Genomic DNA, 21,680 nt, shown 5'->3' on the forward strand with positions numbered 1-21,680 from the left:
CTGCTACTGCTCTTGCTTCTCATTAGTCTATTAATAATGAATCAGGTGAACTTTCTAGAGTAGATCGTAGCATCCCATTCCTCTACCCAGTACTTCAACTCTCTGTATTTTTCATCCTGCCTAACAACAAAAAAACTATAAATTATTGTTTGCATATGCATGTGTGTGTTTGTACGCATACTGTTGTTATTCACCCTGTTTTACATTTAGCCCATTTCTAGCTAATTTTTGTATATGGTACTATCTGTGGTTAGAGGTGTTTTTTGTTTTTGTTGTGGTAGTTGTGGCAATAATTTCTTTTTTACATAGTCAAATTATTCCAGCAATTTGTTGAAAAAAATATCCTCTCTCCATCGAATTACATTGGCAACTCTGTTCTCTGGTCCTCACAGATCAGTTCCTCATGATGACTGATTTTTCAGGAAATGTGGGCTTTGAACAGACTTCACTCAGAAAGCCTGTGCTAGAGTTCCAGCATAGGGACCTCATTCCTTTATCAGGGCTCAGATCCTTCATCCTCTTGTAACAGGCTCTGGACCTACAATGGAAATCTGCTGACATGAGATTAAGAGAAGGTATCTGGAATGAAGGCACTTCTCCGACTCCACCCATTCCGCTGACAGGGCTCCAACAACTCCAGGGTCTTTTAATCAAGAGATTGCTAAGTCAAAGACAATGCCTCCTCAGCCAAATGTGAAACACAAAGGTTTCATAATCAAAATGAAATTCCTTCTTAGCACACAACTGGAGAAAGCTCTAAAGGAGATAAGAATCAATAATAAGATTTATAAAATTTGGCAGCATAAGCTGAGGATGATGATATTTCCCTTAATCTTTATGTTTCCAGATGGCACTGGTGTGGCAGCAGAAATCACATCATGGATGAGACGCTAAGAATTGGCACAAGATCTGCACCTTAGATCCAAAGACTATGTGATCCAGGCCCTCAAATACATCTTTTCTAATCCTCATAATAATTCTATGAGGTTGGCACCATTGCCCCATTACAAATGGGGAGAGGTTATGTGCAAAGTCCAAGCTCACATCACCACAATGGGATAGCCTGAGGATGCAATCCCAACACCATTTCCTGAGTCATGCTGTGCTAGGCCAAAATTTGGATTCCTAAAGTCCCTTAATGGTGATCAAATGGTCCAAGTTGCAAGTTAAGGAGAGTAGGTCGGTAAAGACAATAAATCACTGTACTCCCCAGACTTCTCCAACTAATCCCAGTTATTCTTCATGCATTTAACATAAAGCTCTTCGCCGGACAACCTGGCCTCTTACTCTTTCCCTAAACAAAGTTTTTTTCTGTAGTCTCTATATTTTTGCTCAAATGTCCCTCTCTGCCTATAATGACCACCCTATTTTCTAAGTACCTTTAATGACTACTTTCACTCTTCTGAGCTCCCTTCTGAAATCTTTTTTTCTTCCATTGCTATGTTACCACTACGATCTACCTGTCAGCACAAGTGTTGCATGTACTTGCTCCGATGTTGTGTTACTAAAAATAATTACTACCAGTTTTTCTGCATCAACTATGTGCCAGGCACTGTGTGAAGTGCTTGGTTAACATTTGTTTCATTCTCACAATAGCCTCCTGAAATAGGTATTTTTATCTTCTCTTTATTGATGAATATAACGAGATGCAGGGAAATGAATTAATTTAGAAATCAAAGCTAGTAAGTGGGTGAGTTGGCTTTTAAACCAATGTGTGACTTCAAAGTTGGAGTTGTTGATTTTTCCCCCCTTTGAGTTTTAAGCCTGTTTGAACATATCTGGGGCACTTGGAGATGGTGCACCAGAAATACATTGGCAGAAAAAATTTTTCCCAAGAGAAAAGAGAAGCAAAACACATAAAAGTGACTCAAGGATGGAGGCCCAAGACAGAGAGGAGAGGCAACTTTGACTTCCACCATGTGTCTGTTTCTATTGTCTGGCAGCCCAGCCTATGGGAGTTGCCTGAGGTTTAGGGAGAAGCAACTATGATAATCTGTGAATTGCTAGATTTGGCATCCATGGTGTGGGGCATGGTGGTCCAACATTTTCCCAGCAAGCTTCTAATGTGCTGGGGTCTATGGTGGCTTTTGTGAGCTGCACTGACTTCAGTGCGGACTCCACAGGTCAGGGAACCTTGACACCCCCTGTGCTTCGGCAACTCGTTTGTGGTGGGTTGTGACAAGTGATATTAGTAACAGCCGGATGGAAAAAGGAAGGAAAATGTAAGGTCAATGCAAATTTTTATCAAGTACCTACGATGTGCGGGCAATTTTGCAAGGTGCTAGTGTCATGCAGCCTGTGGCATATTTGAGCAGACTTATGGGAGTATATAGAAAAGCTAGGAGTGGGCCGGGCGCGGTGGCTCACGCCTGTAATCCCAGCACTTTGGGAGGCCGAGACGGGCGGATCACGAGGTCAGGAGATCGAGACCATCCTGGCTAACACGGTGAAACCCCGTCTCTACTAAAAATACAAAAATTAGCCGGGCATGGTGGCGCGCGCCTGTAGTCCCAGCTACACGGGAGGCTGAGGCAGGAGAATGGCGTGAACCCGGGAGGCGGAGCTTGCAGTGAGTCGAGATCGCGCCACTGCACTCCAGCCTGGGCGACAGAGCGAAACTCCGTCTCAAAAAAAAAAAAAAAAAAAAAAAAAAAAAAAAGCTAGGAGTGACAAAGGTCTTCATACACTTGTCTTTTTGTAATTCATCTGCCCAGAGTGGGCAAATTTTGGTAATTCATGCACAGGCACTATACTGTACATGCTAACCCTGACTTTACTCACTGCTCTGTTTCTCACCCAAGTTTGTTATGAATGATTTAAAGATGCTGAAGATACCTGGATATAAAGAAGGGGGACGAAGAAGCTAGAAAAATGCTGTTGCAATATTATTTTGGCCCTACATTTCCCCCAGCATTCTGTTGCCCAGAAATTGATTTGCATCACTGTTTGTCTTGCCTTCTCAGTTCCTTTGGCAATAACGATTATATTATCCATCTACTTTTCTTTTAAAAATTCAAAGTATAAAAATAAGTGTATTTAATAATTTGTTGAACAAATGCATACATAAATGAATAAAGACTGTCATGAATAAGTACTTTTAAACTCCAACAAGCAGCATAAATGAATGAAACTTCTCATTTTTCTCTCCATGTCTCCACTTCTGTAGGTTTCTACAAGCAGAGGGTGTAATCAAAATTGACCAGTACACTCATTCTTCCTGGGAACAGAACATGTAGGATGCTCTAAAAATACCTTCTTTGATTCATTAAACTGAGTTTCTCAAGGATGTAACGAAAAGGAACACAATTTGTTCTAGAAAGAGATTTTCCTATATGTCCTAAGAAGGAGAAAACAACCAGGAGACAAAAAGGAACTGAGATATTGACCAAAATAGATCATTAGGAAAGAGCGGGTGATTTTGAGTCAGGTTTTTTTAAAAAAAGCAACAGAAAACAGAAGTTAGAAAGAAGGTAGGAAGATACTCATGTCTTGATATGCTATCATTTTAATAACTTAATATTGATTTTAAAGTAAAAACCAACCTTATTTTTCCATTGTATGGGCCAAAATCATGTGAGTTTGTGTCACACATTGAGGGCAATGACAGTGCTAGTTAAATAAAGAGCTCGTTGATGTGCCTGAGTAACACTGTGAACTCAGCATTTTGATAACGATGTAAGGGCTAGAAAATTAGGCTTTTAGATGTCCCCAGGTCAGAGGTGAGCCTGGGTTGTTAAATGAGGCCGTAAGATTCCTCTGCCGCCACATGTGATTTGACTAAGATGACAATGATAAGTGTCCCTTCAGAGGTATGGAGCCTTCTGAGACCAGGTCACTCATTATTTCAAGGTGACCTCAAGTCCAAGGGCACATTTTAACTTCATGTACAACAAACAGCATCACGCTGCTCCTTGATGTTTACTGGTTCATTAAAGGGTAGGATGTAGGGTGTGAGGAAGTGAGGGTGGTACATTTTATTCACACCAGTAAAAGAAGAAATGCTCAAGTTATATTGTATAATTTCTATGAAAAAAAGTAACAGAAATCAGCACACCATTTTTAGAAGGCTCACCACGTGTGAATATCTTTCCAAAAAGTGATTTGTCAAAATAATTGACGTAACTATAGTGTTTCTCACATTTTCTCCTAAGTCACATGCCTAAAAGCTCAGCAGAAAAATTAATGGAAGAAAATGTAACCCATTTAAGATAAGCTGAAATATAAGCAAAGTCAAAAGATAACAAATTGATCCCCCCAAAATTGATATATAAAAAGTAAAAAGTAAGTTTTGGCTGAACGCGGTAGCTCACGCCTGTAATCCCAGCACTTTGGGAGGCCGAGGCGGGCAGATCACCTGAAGTCGAGAGTTCGAGACCAGCCTGACCAATGTGAAGAAACCCCATCTCTACTAAAAATACAAAATTAGCTGGGCGTGGTGGTGAATGCCTGTAATCCTAGCTACTCGGGAGGCTGAGGGAAGAGAATCCCTTGAACCCAGGAGGCGGAGGTTGTGGTGAGTCAAGATCACGCCATTGCACTCCAGCCTACGCAACAGGAGCAAAAACTCTGTCTCAAAAAATAGTAATTGTGAGTTTCTAAAAATCAATAAAATCACACACACACACACACACACACACACAAAGGAAAAAAGAGCAAAAGATGGAACACAAATCTAAACATAAAGTGGTCCTTAAACATATGAAAGGTAGTCATTGTCATGCATAATAAGAGATAGAATTTAATAATACATGAAAATGCCACTTTTTACCAATTTAGATTCAGAAAATCTCAAAGTTTAAAAATACACCTTGTTTGCAACTCTAAAGGAAAATAAGTCTTACATTGCAGATAGTAATGTATATTGGTGCAATCCTTGTAGAAGACAATTGGTAATACCTTTCAAAATTATAAATACATATCCTTTTCTAATGGTTCTGCTCTTGGGAATTTACCTTGAAGATACACATCTGCAAAAGGATATTACCATAGTCTCAGTCATTACAATTTTGCTTGTAATAGCAAATTAGTGAACAACACATATATGTCAGTTATGATTATTTTGCAACCATAAAAAATGAAGATAAAGATGGATTTGTCAAAATTTGATATTTATTCATGATAAAAAAAACTCTCAGAAAATTAGGAATAGAAGGATATGTCCTCAACCTGATGAAGGCCATCCACAAAAAACCTACATATAAAACTATATTTAATGGTAAAAGATTAAATTATTTTCCTAAGATCAGGAAAAAAGCTAAGATAGTTGCCTTACCAGACCTATTCAATACTATACTGGAGGTTCCATTCGGTGCAACAAGACAAGATAAAAAAATAAAAGGCATCCATATTGGAAAGGAAGAGGTATAACTGTCTTTGTTTCCATACATGATCATCTATGTAAACAATCTGATGAAATAAATAAAAATGATCTACAAAGTTGCCCATGGGATGTAATGAACAATTGATAGCCTTTTCAACAAATGGTGCTAGAATAACTGGATATCTCTATGTAAAAACAAACAAAAACAACAACAAAACCCAACCACCTCTATTTATAGCTTGCACCATATATACAAAATTACTAGAGCTGAGCCTAAATATAAAACCTAAAACTATAAAACCTCTAAAAGAAAACAGAAGAAAATCTTTGTGACATTGGGTTAATCATAGCCTTCTTGAGATATCAAAGGCACAAACCATAAAAGAAAATACTGATAACAAAGACTTAATCAAAATTTAAAACATTTGCTCTTCCAAAGATAGTGTTAAGAAGATAAAAGGTCAAGTCAGACTGAGTAAAATATTTGCAAAAAAAAAAAAAAATCTGATCAAGGTCTTATATTCAAAACTATTAAAGAACCCTTAAAACTCAATATTAAACAACCCAATCCTTAAAAGATTTCAAAATTTAAACTAAAATTAAAATGGACAAGTAAGCATACAAATAGATTGCAAATAATAGAAAAACACATATCATGCAAACAAATACCACAAGAAAGCTGATGTATTATTCTAATATCAGACAAAATAGACTTTAAAGCAAAAGAAAATGTTACTGGAGACAAAGAGAAACATTTTCTAATAAGATTGTCAATCTGCCACGAAAATATAATAATTATAAATTTATATGCAACTAATAACAAAGCACCAAATACATGAAGCAAAAATGGACAGAAATGAAAACAATTCAACAATAATTGTAAGAGATCTCAATATCGCATTTTGAACAATGTATGGAAAAACTAGACAAGACAGCAACAAGGTAACAGAAGCCGTGAAGAATAAACCAAGTATATCTAACAGATATCTATAGTACACTTCACCCAGTAACAACACAATACACAATTTTCTCGAGTTCACATGGACCATTGTCCAGGGTAGGTCATATGCTAGACTATAAAATGCTTCATAAATTTAAAGGATAGAAATAATATAAAATATGTTCTCCAACCACAATGGAATACAATTAAAAATCAATAGCAGCAAAAAATTAGGGAAACTCATAAATATGAAGAAATTAAACAGCATATTCCTAAATAACCAATGGATCAAAGAAGAAATCAAAAGGGAAATCAGAAAATAATTTGAGATGAATGAAAATGAAGACACAACATACTCAAATTTATGAGATGCAGCTAAAGCAATTCTTCAAGGAAAATTCCTAGTTGTAAATTCCTATATTAAGTAAGAAGAAAGATCTCAAATTAGTAACAATATTTTAGGTTAATAAAATAAAAAAAAAAAAAAGAAAAGCCACTGCCAAAGAAACACACACACACACACACACACACACACAAGACTCTGGAAAAAGAAGAGCACACTAAATCTATAGCTAGCAAAAGGACAGAAATAATAAAAAATTACAGCAGCAATTAATGAAACAGAGAATAGAAAAACAATAGAGAAAATCGATGAAACCAAAAGCTGTTTTTTTAAAAGATCAACATAACTGACAAAGCATTAGTTAGACCGACCAAGAAAAAAAAAAAAAAAAGACTCAGATTATTAGAACCAGAAATGAAAGAGGGGACATTACTACCAATGCTACAGAAATAAAAGGAATTACAAAGAATATGATGATAATTGTATATCAACAATTTAGATAACTTAGATGAGATGGACAAATTCCTAGAAAGACACAAACTACTGAAACTTACTCAGGAAGAAATAGACAATCTGAATAGACCTGAAACAAGTAAAGAGATTAGTAATTATTTTAAAAATTAGCTAAACTGGATTTCATCAAAATTAAAGACTTTTGTGCTTGAAGATGCATTAAAATCAAAGCACAAAACTGGTTATATTTCTACACAAAGAATAATCTGTAATAGACAATCTGAAAATAAAATCAAACAAATATTTGCAATCACATCAAAACAATAAAATAGTTAATAATAAATTTAACAAAATAAATGCAAAAGTTATACATTGAAAACTACAAAATGTTGTTGAAAGATATTAAAGAAGCTGTGAATAAACAGAATAGCATCTCATATTTATGGATTAGAAAACTTAACAGTGTTTAGATAGCAGTACTCCTCAGATTGACGTACAGTGCAATCCCTATCAGAATCCTGGTGTCTTCTTTGTAGATACTGACAAGCTGATCCTAAAATTCATATGCAAGGGTCCCAGGATAACCAAAACAGTCTTGGAAAAGAGGAACAAAGTAGGAGGGCTCACATCTCCTGATTTCAAAATTTACTACAAGGCAATGGTAATCCAGAAAGTGTCGTGTTGAGATGAGGATAAAAATGTATAGATTAATGGAATAGAGTTAAAAGTCCACAAATGAACTAATACACCTATGGTCAACTGATTCAATGAGGGTTACAAAACCATTCGGTGGCAGCGGAGGTGAGGGTAGGAGGGGAAGAATCGTTTTTCAACTCATGGAGCTGAGACAGTTGAATAGCTACACGCAAAAGAATGAAGTTGGAAACTTTCCTACGTGCAAAAGAATCAAAGTGGAACCTTTCCTTACCTTTCCTTACATATCCAAAAATTAACTCAAAGTACTAAAACTATAAAATTATCAGCAGAAAACTTAAGGGTAAATTGATACACCTTTGGATTTAGCAAAGGATTCCAAGACATAAACTTTTTCAAAGCACAGAAATGAAAGAAAAAAGTAGATAAATTGTATTTCATAAAAATTAAAAACTTTTGTGCTCAAAGATGCCATTAAGAAAGGGGAAAGACAACCCAATTGTACTGAATGAAGTTCAATTTATCTATTAGCTAATTTTTACATATAATGTAAGGTAAGGCTCAACTTCATTCTTACAAGTCAATAATAAAAAGACAAATAACCCAACTTAAAAATGGGCAAAAGATCTGAATATACATTTCTTCAAAGAAGATGTATAAATGGCCAACATATGAAGAGATAGTTGATGTTATTAGTCATCAGAGAAATGTAAATCAAAACCACAAGAAAATAACACTTCACAGTCACTAGAATGACTACAATAATAAAGTCAGATAATTATAAGTGTTTCTAAGTATATATCAGAATCCTCAAACATTGCTGACAGAAAAGTAAAATGCTTCAGCCGCTTTCAAAGAAGTCTGACAGTTGGTCAAACAATTAAATATACAGTTACCATAAGACCCAGTAATTCCACTATGGGTACATAACTAGAAGAAATTAAAACATATTTCCACAAAAAATGTGTACATAGACATTTATAGCACATTTATTTATAAGGCACAAAAGGTGAAACAACCCAAATATTCATCAACCTACGAATGAATAAACAAAATGGGACATAATCATGCCACGGAACACTATTCAGCCATTAAAAGTAACCAAGTACTGATACATGCTATTACTTACCACATCCCACATAGACCTAGAAAATATTATGCTAAGGGAAGGAAACCAGCCACCAAAGACTACATATTATCATTCCATTTGTATGGAAGTCCAGAATAGAGAAACCGACAGAAACAGAAAATAGATTAGTGGTTGCTGAAGGCAGGTGATGGTAGTGGGGATGGGAAACTGTTTAAAAATGAACAAATATTTTGACAATTCACCAAAGAAAAAATGTTGTTGGGAAAGAAACATATGAAAAGATGCTCAACATAATTTGTAATATTATATAGGTTAAAATAAAAAGACCAACTTTATTGTTAGCAAAGATTTAGAGCAACTAGAACTCCCAGACATCGTTGGTGGGGATGCCAGATGGTACAGCCACTTTGTAAAACAGTTCTGCAGATTCTAGTAAAGTTAAACTTACATGTATCTAGGACCCAGATTTTCACTCTTAGGAATTTTACCCAAGAGAAATGCAAAATATCGACGCAAAACCTACAGTAAATATTTAGAGCAGCTGTATTAGCTTCCTATTACTACTGTGACAAATTACCACAACCTTCGTGGTTTAAAGCAAGACAAATGTATTATCTTACAATTCTGAGGTTACAAGTTCAAAATAACTCTTAGGCTAAATCAAAGTATGTTGGGTTTTGTCTATTCTGGAGGCTCTAGGGGAGAATTCACTTTCTTGCTGATTCTGACTTCATTCCTGGATTGTAGCCTCCTTCATTTTCAAAGCCAGCCATGTAGCATCTTCAAATCTGTCTGTCTCTCAGACACACACACACACACACACACACACACACACACACACACACACACGGCTCTGCTTCTCCTACCTCCCTGCTTCCCTTATAAGAACCTTTGTGATTATACTGGGCCAACCTGGATAAACCAAGATAATTTCTTTATCTCAAAATTTTTAATTTAATCATACCCACAACATCCCTTTTGACATTAACATATTCACAGTTTCTGGAGATTATGATTCAGATGCATTGTGTGTAGAAGACAAAGGGGTAGAGCCAGGCGTGGTGGCTCACACCTGTAATCCCAGCACTTTGGGAGGCCGAGGCAGGAGGAAGCACCTGAGGTTGGGAGTTCGAGACCAGCCTGACCAACATGATGAAATCCAGTCTCTACGAAAATACAAAAATTAGCCGGGCCTGGTGGTGGGCACCTGTAATCCTGGCTACTTGGGAAGCTGAGGCAGGAGAATTGCTTAAGCCCGGGAAGCGGAGGTTGCAGTGTGCTGAAATCGCGCCATTGCATTAAAGCCTGACCAACAGAAACAAAAACAGAAACAAAACAAAACAAAAAACTCTCAAAAACAAAAAACAACAAAAATGGGATGGAGCAGGTATTATTCTGACTACTACAGTAGCTTTACTTAAAATTGCTAAAACTGGAAAAAATGAAGATGGCCTGTTACCTGATGAATGGATAAACAAATTATGATACATTCCACACAGTGGACACAAAATCTGAGACACCTCAACACCACTCCCTTACATAATCTTCTCACACCAACATGCCTGACACATGTGAGAAGTGAATGGTAAGGCTGGTGTGCATCTTAGAGTCACTGACCTCCTGACAAAGATTCTCTCTTTGACCAAACTCTAGACAGGCTCCTCTGAGCTCTTTTTCATTCATTCCATGTCCTTGGATGTGTTCTCAAGAGTCCGACTTTAGCAAGAATTCTGCTAAGTTAGTTTAGGCAGGACCCTCGATATGTCACCTTTGATATGTGATTGAGTTCCTCATCCTCCACCATCCCTCAGGTGACATCCGATTCGCCTGGCCTGCCTTCAATAAGAATCCTATTAGTTGGATTTAGCCAGAATCTCCTCCAACTCTGATGTTTCCTCTTAGTAATTTTCCTTCTGCTGCTAAAAATTGGCTATAAATTCCCAATTGTTCTTGTTGTTTTTGAAGTTGAGCCCAATTTCTCCTGATTACTGCAAAACTCCATTTAGTACACCTTATACCAATGGTGATGGTCCTGAATAAAGTGTGCCTTACCATTTTAACCAGTGTCAGGAATATTCTTCTTTAACACTGCTCATGTTATAGACAGAATACTATCATCTGAAGAGATCAGGTGACTTGCCCAAGTGCACATATCTGAGATCTCCTGCTTCTTGGTTTGGTACTTTCCCTACCATACTCCACATTAATCCTTACTGAGTTCCTACTCCTAAGAAAATCATAATGTGAGTGAAAATTAATAGCATAAAGCACTATACGGTGGTCTTTCTTTCCCTTAAAGCATGAGTTTGAGAGGGCTTTATGGTACAGTCATTAACAACTCAGACTTGGGGACAAACAGGTACAGTAGCAGGTCCTGGCTCTGCTACTTCCTAATTAAGTAATTCCCTGTGCCCTAGTTCTGCCTTCATAAAATAAAGCTAATAATATCTAATATTCAGGGCAGTTGTCAGAATTAAATAGGAATTTCCTGGTAAAATTCTTAGCATGCTAAGTGCTCAGTATCTGGTGGCTATTATCATTCTTGTCACTATCATTATCGCTGGTCTTTATTGAAAATCAGAGCGGAGCTAACAGACCCATGTAGGCCCTTTAGCATCCACTCTTCTGAAAAAGACAATTTGTAGAATGGCACACAAGCCTTTTGCTGAAGTTCAAAATCAGCCCAAAGGATGCTTTGTTTAAAAATATAATAATAATTGCTTTGTAAAATACATGTTTGTAGTTGACTGGATTCAACTGAATTCTACCGATTATTTCAGAAAACAATCAGTTGCATGAATTTTACATCTTAAAATAAGCTAGTCTGTCTCCAGATAGGTAAGGTGGATAGAGTCTTCAGAACAAGTAAATTTCATCCTTACTTTCCTCAGTTAGGTTATATCACATTTAATGTTTAGTGAGAAGCAAAGATGAGCGTGATCACAAAGTGTTATAAAAATACATATAAATTCAAACAATGTATATTTTGGAAGAGAGATAGGGTTTGTATACAATGCAAAATAATTGATTTTACCTAAAATTTCAACCTTTGTAAATTTTGTCACCTGTGCAGTTGGAATAGAGGTGATTACATTGCCTGCAAACCCTGCCTTTGGGGTTTGCACAGAATCGTATAATAATATCTCATATGTACAGAGCGTTTACTGTCTGCTGGTGTTGTGCTGAGCACTTTATGCAAATTAACTTTATGTGCATGAACTTGTGCACATTAATTTTTAAAATCTTCACAGCACACCTGTGAATTAGGCCCCTTATAGTCATTATTTGAACAATTAGGAAATCAAGACACAGAAAAGTTAAGTAATGAGCCCGAGGTGACGTGCGGAATCTAGACTCACTCTTGGGCCTCCTTAGCAGGGACAGGCTGTGGGTGAAGCCAGTGGGGTCATGGCTGAGGGTGCAGGTCCAGGTAAGGAAGGAGCAGGCTGGGCAATTTGACAGCAATTGAAAGACCTTAGAGAAACTTGTCAAAGTAAGATCAGGAGGGCGGGGAGACATAGCAGCCAAGGAAAATAAGGTGGGGAAATCTGTGAACCCTTCTTTAACTTAGTAAAGAGAGTGGGGGCGGTGGGGGGAAGCTTATTTGACCTTGGAGAGAAAGGCCTAGTAAAGGGAGGCAGAACACAAGTTTAGGGAATTACCATTGGAAGGATGCACCTCCTTTGCTGGAGAAAAATCAGGGATCTTAATTAGGCTGCTGCTGCTGAGGTATTAGTGGAGGAATCTCTTTAGCTCAAGGAGGGCCGTTGCCAGAGGACAAATGGGGGAGCATCCCTTGCATTTAAATATTATATAAATTGCACATGAGTCTCAATCATTCTTACAAAATTCTCCCTCCATATCCCTCAGTCTCTCCAGTAACAAGTGAAATAGGAGGCAGGGGTTTGCTTACCTGTGTACTTCCCTTGATTGTGATCAGCTTAAGTGGATTCTACACTCATTCATTCTACAAATATTTATATTGAAATGTTTACATCCCCCCTCACTGACACACACAGAAACCTTAACAATTTAAAATAAATAATCTCTAAAAATCATGTTTCAGCCTGGTGCAGTGGCTTACACCTTTGGGAAGCTGAGGCAGGTGGATCACCTGAGCTCAGGAGCTCAAGATCAGCGTGGGCAACATGGTGAAACACCATCTCTACCAAAAGTACAAAAAATTAGCCAGGCGTGGTGGCATGTACCTGTGGTTCCAGCTACTCAAGAGGCTGAGGTGAGAGAATCGCTTGAGCCTGGGAGGCAGAGGTTGCAGTGAGTGGAGACCATGCCACTGCACTCCAGCCTGGGCGACAGAGGGTCTCAAAATGAAAAAAATCATATTTAAAATCAACAAGGCCCCAGTACATTCCCTTCACTTTATAGATGAGAAAAATGAGGCTTCCAGATGTAAAATAACTTGCTCAGGGCCATACAGTAAATTAACCAGGGGATTCTAGATGAATGTGAAATTACCCTGGCCCCTGCCCTACCAAAATGCACCCTGGTTCCCACATGCCCCATTTCTACTTCTCTTTATTCTGGTATGAATGTACATGTGTACATACACACACACACACACACACACACACACACACACACACACACACACACACCCCTCTCCCAACTATCCATCCATTTTCAGAAAAATCTGAGAGCTGCAGAGGCAGATTTGCCATGAAACCAATGAAATTTTAGGCACAGGCATTTCCAAAGCCCTGTATCTCATTCTGCATTTGTATTTCATATTCTTTTAAAAATATATCCCTGAATTATATCAAGTTCAAATACCCAGAGGCAGCATTCTCTATCCGCCCCCTGGGAAGCAGGGCTATGGAGGAAGCATGAGTTACACTTGCTGAAAACTCAGTGGAGCAAATAATGATCAAAGTGAGAGTGCAACCCAGAAGGAAGCAGGGAAAGGACAGAATCAAGGCATCCCTTGGCATCACAGGTAGAAAAAGGTGACTCAGCAATCTTGCCCCTCTTTTCCATCACATGAACTTCGTGAAGAAACAGAAGAAAGTTGGCTTGAGAATTGCAGAAGGCTTCTGATACGTGGGGAAGCTGAGCGGGTCACAAGGAGGATTGTGCATAGGGAGGCAAGGTGGGACAGCCTGGTGGCTCCTCACCAGTTGTGTGCTGGAGCTGGCTTATACCAGGCTTGAAAAGGCCCGTTGTTAAATTTTTAGAAATCTTGTAAGCCAGGCCGGGCGCGGTGGCTCACGCCTCTAATCTCAGCACTTTGGGAGGCCGAGGCGGGTGGATCACGAGGTCAGGAGATCGAGACCATCCTGGCTAACACAGTGAAACCCCGTCTCTACTAAAAAAATTCAAAAAGTTAGTCGGGCGTGGTGGTGGGTGCCTGTAGTCCCACCTACTCTACTCGGGAGGCTGAGGCAGGAGAATGGCATGAACCCGGGAGGTGGAGCTTGCAGTGAGCCGAGATAGCACCACTGCACTCCAGCCTGGGTGACAGAGTGAGACTCCATCTCAAAAAAAAAAAAAAGAAAGAAATCTTGTAAGCCAATTGTTAAATGCAACTCTTGGGGCTCAGAAAATGATACCCCAAAATATAGCACTTTGACATGCTGAACTAAAGAAGCAATCTCAAGGTCCCTGATCTCCCCCTCTAAACTAAATGGGACCAGAGAAAATTGTCTCTCAATCCTCTGTCTCTCCAAAAGTACAAGATGACACCATTCTCTGAAGTTCCCATATCCACCTACAAATGGGACCTACTTCTCAGGTCCCATTTGGTTTATAAACAGAATCATTTACAATCTAATTTCTGTCTCTTGGGTTCATTAATCTCTCCTAAAATCATTTACTACCCTTCTAAAATTGCTTACAGCCCCCTACTTCCTTCTCCCCTATAAAGAGTGTATTTAAGCATCAACCATTTGGTCTTTCTTTAACTCTCATACTTTGTGAGTGGCTTCTGTGTTTATGTATGTTAAATGAATTTGTATACCTTTTTTTCCTGTTAATTTGTCTATTGTCAATTCATTTCAACAGACTTAGACTCGAACCTTTGGAGGGAAAGTTTGAACTTCCCTACATAGCCATCTAAAAATCAAATTATATTAACTTAAAATTAAATAAATTGTATTGAAAACAAAAGTAATAAATACACAGAACTTCTCAATTCCTAATTATTATGATTTATATCTATGTTTTTACATCTAAATTCTCTACAGGAGTGTGCTACTGTGTATCTCTTCCCAACTCTGTATTCAACAACATCATGTTGGTGGCTGGAAATCCGCCATCATGGGAGTATTAGCACCAAAGAAATCAACAAACATTACAAATCCGGGCTTGATTTATTGTTTTGTGGATTGTCTAGACTTAAGAATGTGACAGAGAAGTGTTAGTAATGCAGATTAAACGTAAAAGCAATCTGTGAATGCTGACATTACCTTGTAAATATCTTAAGAATTGAGAAATGTTCTTTCAATATTTAAAAACTGTTATCTGATTTGGCAAAAAATATCACTCATGTCATTTGAGAAACAAGTGAAATTCTGACATTCATCTTCATGATTTCAGTTTCATCTTACTTGTTAAAGTAAATGAAAATATCAACCAATATTCATGGCAGAATTACACAAGGAGAGTAGACTGTATTTACCAGCACAACACTGGTCCTAATCTAGGGCCTGCGAGCCCCTTCCTAGGAGGTCTTTGTTCATGGATGATTTATAGAATGTCTATTAAATTACATCTAACACTCGGCATAAAATTTACTTTTCTGGAAAGTGGTTCATAGCACTTATCAGATCCTCAAAGAGTATGATTAACAAAGAATTTACAACTCACTGATATAACAGATAATGCATCTGCCTGGCATTGCAAAATCCAGCTTCACCATTTATTATCTCTAAGAGTTTGGGCTACTTACCTAACTTCTCTGGATCCCATTTTTCACATCTAATAGATGTAGGACCTACTTCTTAGGTTATAAAAATCAGATAGGGGAGCCCACACAGTAGATGCCAAAACCAAGAAGACACAGATTCCCATCTAGTTACTTCACTGACCATGTGGTCTTGAACAAATCATTTAAATTGACTCGGTCTCACTTTTCTCATCTGTAAAATGGGAAGATAGGTGTAAGTATTTTTCAAATTATTTTAGTTTGCAGAACTTTTCTTCAAATGAAATCATACATTTAGAAATAGTATAAGAAAAAAAATTATTGCTTGGAATATGAGGGAAAGAGGAGAAGAGGGAGTTTGCCTTGATGTCTCTCAGATGCTTCCAGAACATCACTAGTTCTCCATAGAAAAGCATTGAACTAGACTATCTTTAACATACATACAGCGCAGTTCTAATTAGCCAGGCATGGTGGTGCTCACCTGTAATCCCATCTACTTGGGAGGCTGAGAAACTTGAACTCAGGAGTTCACTTGAACTCAGGAGCCAGTGAGCCAAGATCGTGCCACTGCACTCCAGCCTGGGCAACAGAGCGAGGCTCCGTCTCAAAAGAAAACTGCCACCACCAACAACAAACCCATAAAAACCAGTTCTAAAATTATCCGTATTGTTTTTGCCCTCAGCACTGACAAGAACTCCAGTGACAAGAAGACCAGATGAGAAGTGATGACTCAGCCCAAACCCATCCTACTCTGACCAATAAAGTAATGCCTGGAGCAGCACTACTGGGAAGGATTCTTTATATCAAAAGATATAAAAACAGAAATGATGGTTTCTGAAGGATATTTGGTTGTTGCTTATTGCCTGAACCCTCCAGATCAGCCTATCTGTCTAAATGTCCTCTGTTGACTCCATAAGACACAGGAGAATTGCCCAGCAAGGCCTGTCTGAATTCTTGGCCCACAGAATTTTTAGGTATGATAAAATGGCTGTTGTTTTACATCACTAAGTTCAAAGAAATTTTGCTATTCAGCAAAAGATAAAGAAAACTGGAACAGTAGTGGCTTAATCAAACAAGTACGTTACTAGCTTTTTTTTTTTTTTTTTTTTTTTTTTTGAGACAAAGTCTTACTCTGTCACCCAGGCTGGAGTACAGTGGCACGATCTCGGCTCACTGCAACCTCTGCCTCCTAGGTTCAAGTGATTCTCCTGCCTCAGCTTCCTGAGTAGCTGGGATTACAGGTGCATGCCACCATGCCTGGCTAATTTTGTATTTTTAGTGCAGACGGGGTTTCGCCACGTTGGCCAGGCTGGTCTCGAACTCCTGACCTCAGGTGATCTGCCTGCCTCGGCCTCCCAAAGTGCTGAGATTATAGGCGTGAGCCACCGCACCTGGCCAGGAACTGTAATTTTAAGTAAGAGATGGCTATAGACTTAGGAATGTCTGCAGGGTCCCAGCGAGTGAGGGTGCTTTTGTTGGCTTCTTGGCCTACAGACTCCTTCAGGAAAAGTTACACTCATTCCAAAGAGCCTCAGCTAAAGCAGGACATGGAGGCTGCCTGGCCTTGCTATGGAGGGTAGGTGAGAACACCAGAGGTCAAAGCACTGCAAGTCCTTGACCTTCTGGGTGATTTGGCTTATAAATACAGATCAACAAAATGCTATTTCTGAACTTCTTGAACAAGTGGAGTCATCCTGGCTGGGTTTTCTCAGTGATAGAGAGAAATGGGGGTGGAGGAGTCATGGCTGGGCATGAAGACCTTCTGGGATGTCAAAGCACACAGCTGGGACAGAGTTAGGACCCAGGCCAGGAACAAAAAGAATCTTAAAGTAAGGCAGACCAAACACAGCACTACAACCTTCTACTTGGCTTGGTGGCTTTGATTCCACTTACTTTTTCCAAGTCTTCCGGGGACCACTAACTGTCTAGACTGACATTCTCTACTCTGTGTCAGGCACGCCATTACTGGATGGCATTTGGTTCTCCCTTTGATCTGTTTTAAGAAATATTTGCTAAAAGTGATTTTGCCTATAGAATGATCTTAGAACTAATGAACTGTGCTTTTGTGAATCTTGAGAGTTAACTGTGAATTGACACTATTTTATTTTATTTTTTATTTATTTATTATACTTTAAGTTTTAGGGTACATGTGCAGTATGTATGTGTTTTCAAAGGCACAAAACAAACAGCAGCCAAATACTCTATAAATATGGTGTCTCTAATTGGCTTCGAGAATGACGATTTTAAAAGTATTTAAGGCATATCTCACAGTGCATTTAAATTATTTCCCTGTTAGCATCTATCACTACCTTTCTTACATTGTGCTAAGTTGTGTGTCTCCACCCTACCATCTTGTGAGCCCCAGAGGCTCAGCACTGAGCCTCATTCATTTCTGTGTTTCTGCTAGTACTTAACTGAGCACAGATCTAGAAGTTCACCCATGAGGAGCTTCATAAATACCTGATGAATTAAAGTGATCTGGCACCTGGTCAACATGGACCATGTTCCATGTTGTCTCCATCTGGCTTCTGTGGACAGCACATATGTCAAGGATGGATGTTATCAACCCAGCCTGGACACTGTTTATGGCTACAGTGAACATGAACAGGTGGGCAGAATGTCAACAAGCCAAGTTCAAAAATATAGAGAGAACAATGTGTATGGCTGCCAGTGATCTGGGAATTGTAAGCCATTTAAAGAGATATAATGCTAATTGCCTCATCCAATTACTACAAGGGTTTGAGATAATGCAATTAAATTACCTAGCAAAGAGCCTAGCTCATTTGCTGAAGTGGTAACATTCTTATTGTAATAATTATTAATACATTAACAGTAATAAGCCACCTGGTATAATAATAGAAGGCTGGAAAACAACTTGGCCTATAGCAGAGCCAGAAAAATTCTTTTTTTGAATAACAGTATTCTGGATTTAATTATTGGCAACCAACTGGACAAAGGATAGAGCCTTCTATTAATGGTACTTCCATAAACTCTCGCCTTGGCTGAGGAAATCCTACATGCCCTATAAGATTCAGCTCCATAGATTTGTGTAAAGCCCTTCCCTCATCATCTTCTGCTTTCTCTCCCATGGCGGTCATGAACGGCAGCACCCTCTCCAGTTCCAGCTCTGTATATCTAAAGCTGTTGCCAAGCTCCCATCACCCTCTACAGTACGTGGTACCTCCAGTTCTTACCAAAGAGAGCCATGTATGCTTAAAGGGGCATTTTATAACCTTGGCATGGATGGACAGAGAAGACAAGCACATTGAACATGAAAGGGTCTCCCAAGAGACTCTAATATGCCCACAGCACCAGCCCATTTCTTCTACCTATCCTCTGTCAAAAAGTGCTGATTCACCTTTATATTACTATAGCTATTATACATGGTATTATATATAATGTTGATATATATTATATAATTGACATATATTAATTGTATTAATTAAATGATAACTTGACTCAATATAGTTTTAAAAAAGTTTACTTCTTAGCTAATTTGCAAGTGCAAGTGTCACCCATACTTGATAAATGTATGATCTACAGAAGTCAAGCAGAGACAATATGGAACACTGTCCAGGTGCCAAATCAGTTTAACTAGAAAAGCATTTATTGAGCATCTGCTATGCATCTAGGTTTGTGCTGGGCTGGGTGCTAGTGCATGCACCTGTTCCTGAAAGTGCTTCTTTAAATATTGGGCCCTGGTCCCCTCTTGCCTCACCGTATTTCCTGCAGAGAAGTACTGACCTCAACCCCAGACACTCCTCTCTCCTCTCTGCATCTGCTGCTGACATCACTGAGAGGTGTGAGGCTCTACATTCCTCCTTCTGACCTCGGTGTATTCTGAATTTCTGCCGTGTATTTCCTAGTTCCTTTCAGAGCCTCCATGGCATCCCAACCCTCAGGATGAGGAAGGCATAGAGAAAGAGCCGAGTGTGGAATCATTAGAAGTGACAATGAGCTGAAATGTTGGCTCTCCCATTTAATGCTTGTATGACCATACATAAGTTTCTGTATCTCCCTGACCACATCTATAAAATGAGGATAACAATTCTTCCCCACTAAAGTCAGTTGTGCAGATTAAGTGAGGTATGTAATGTTTGCCTGAAAAAAAGTCTATTCCCGACACTCACCTCCCAACTATATCCTTTCCCTGCTCCTCAATCAGACCCAGTCTCAGCTTTCAGGTTGCCCCACCCTGCTCTTTGAAGATTTCAACTTCACCCTAATCCTGGAAGATTTTGTGGCTACAATGCCTGAAAAACCCTAAAGTTCTCACCCTGGAGTGGGGTGTAATACGCAATGCTGTCTAAGACCTAGAGGTGAACAAAACAAAAAAGATGGCCCCTGTCCTCAAGGGGCTTGTAGAGGCTTAAAAAAAGGAATAGATAACTGGCCCGGCGTGGTGGCTCACACCTGTAATCCCAGAACTTTGGGAGGCCGAGGCAGGTGGATCACTTAAGGCCAGGAGTTCAAGACTACCCTGGCAGTGAAATCCCATCTCTACAAAAAATACAAAATGTAGCCAGTCATGGTGGTGCAAGCCTGTAGTCCCAGTTACTCAGAAGGCTGAGGCAAGAGAATTGCTTGTATCTGGGAGGTGGAGGCTACAGTGAGCCAAGATCGCGCCATTGCACTCCAGGCTGGGTGACAGAGTGAGAGTCTGTCTCAAAATAAATAAATAAATAAATAGGAAACTGATGTGACAATAATATAATATGAGGCATATATGCTATAAGAAATGTACAAACAAAATGCTACAAAAGCACAGAGAAGGAAAATATTTTTTTCCAGCCTAAGAAATGAGAACACTTCATGGTTAGATGTAGTTGAGCTGAGTCTTACAGGATGGGGAGGATCTGAAAAGGCAGATAACAGAGTGCATTCAGAAAGGCTGAAGCAAACACCCAGAGGCAGGAAAGCACCTGGAGCTGTCTGGTTTGGGAGGGGTGTAGGGTGACTTCAAGGACCCAATGAAAGATTCAGCTGAAAAAGTAGAATAAGGCCAGATCCCAGCAAGCCTTCAAAAGCCACCCTGTTGCTTCTACCTGGAAACCCATTTTCCCCCTTCCGTCCATATAGAATTTACCTATCCCTGTGGATGTAATTTCCTGCAGGAAATCTCCCTGACCCTGAGTTAGGGCCCCCCTTATATGTCCATCCTGCATCTGCATCCTGCGTCTCTCATGGTGGTCCTCAAAGGCGCCACTCTCTCCAGCCCCCCTCTGTGTATCTAAAGTGGTTGCCAAGATCCTATCTCCCCCTACAGTAGATGGTGCCTCCACTTCTTACCGAAAGAGAGCCATGTATGCTTGCATCCTTCATCCTGCATCCTATGCCTCCATCACAACACTACCTACCAACTTGGAAATGCTCCTTTTGCTCCTTCTCCTACGAGAACTTGAACTACATGATGTATCTGTAGCCAATGCCTCATGTAATGTCTACCGAATAATAGGGGCTCAGCAAATGTTTGCTCAATGAATGAATGAATGAATAAAAGCAAAAGCTCTGATAAGAAGCTTGGACTTTACTTGGTAGACACTGGAGAAACATTAAGAAAAAAATTAAGATTCAAGAGGCTAGGTTTAAGAAGATTTCTCTGGAATAATTGGATAGAAATAGTTTAGAATGATGACAGGGTTGGTATTGAGAGAACAGTCAATCCTACAGTAATTCAGGAAGGAGAGGCAAGTGTTTCAGGGAGGGAAAACAGCAATAATTCAGATAAGAGACGATGAGTGATTCAACAAGGTTACTAATGCAAAGAAGGGACAAAGGAGAAGGAAACATCTGTAAATCAACTTCAAGCCTACATGAAAGGAAAATGCTGCATAAATAAAACCAGAAAATATACCGGGTGTGGCAGCTCAAACCTGAAATCCCAGTGCTTTGGGAGGCCAATGCAAGGGAATCACTTGAGGTCAGGAGCTTGAGACCAGCCTGGGCACCAAAGGCAGACCCCTGCCTCTATGAAAAAAACAAATTAATTAGCTGGACGTG

The 21,680-nt window shown here is 39.1% G+C and overlaps 1 annotated feature.

Annotated features, from left to right (window-relative positions):
• Nucleotides 3,636–3,836: a silencer, noted in NCBI's record as "peak6935 fragment used in MPRA reporter construct". NCBI's record gives its function as "represses an SCP1 promoter by STARR-seq MPRAs in K562 erythroleukemia cells {active_cell/tissue: K562}" and the evidence as "EXISTENCE:reporter gene assay evidence [ECO:0000049][PMID:32103011]".

Source organism: Homo sapiens, chromosome 8 (genome assembly GCF_000001405.40).
Source record: "Homo sapiens chromosome 8, GRCh38.p14 Primary Assembly".
Classification (NCBI taxonomy): Eukaryota; Metazoa; Chordata; class Mammalia; order Primates; family Hominidae; genus Homo; species Homo sapiens.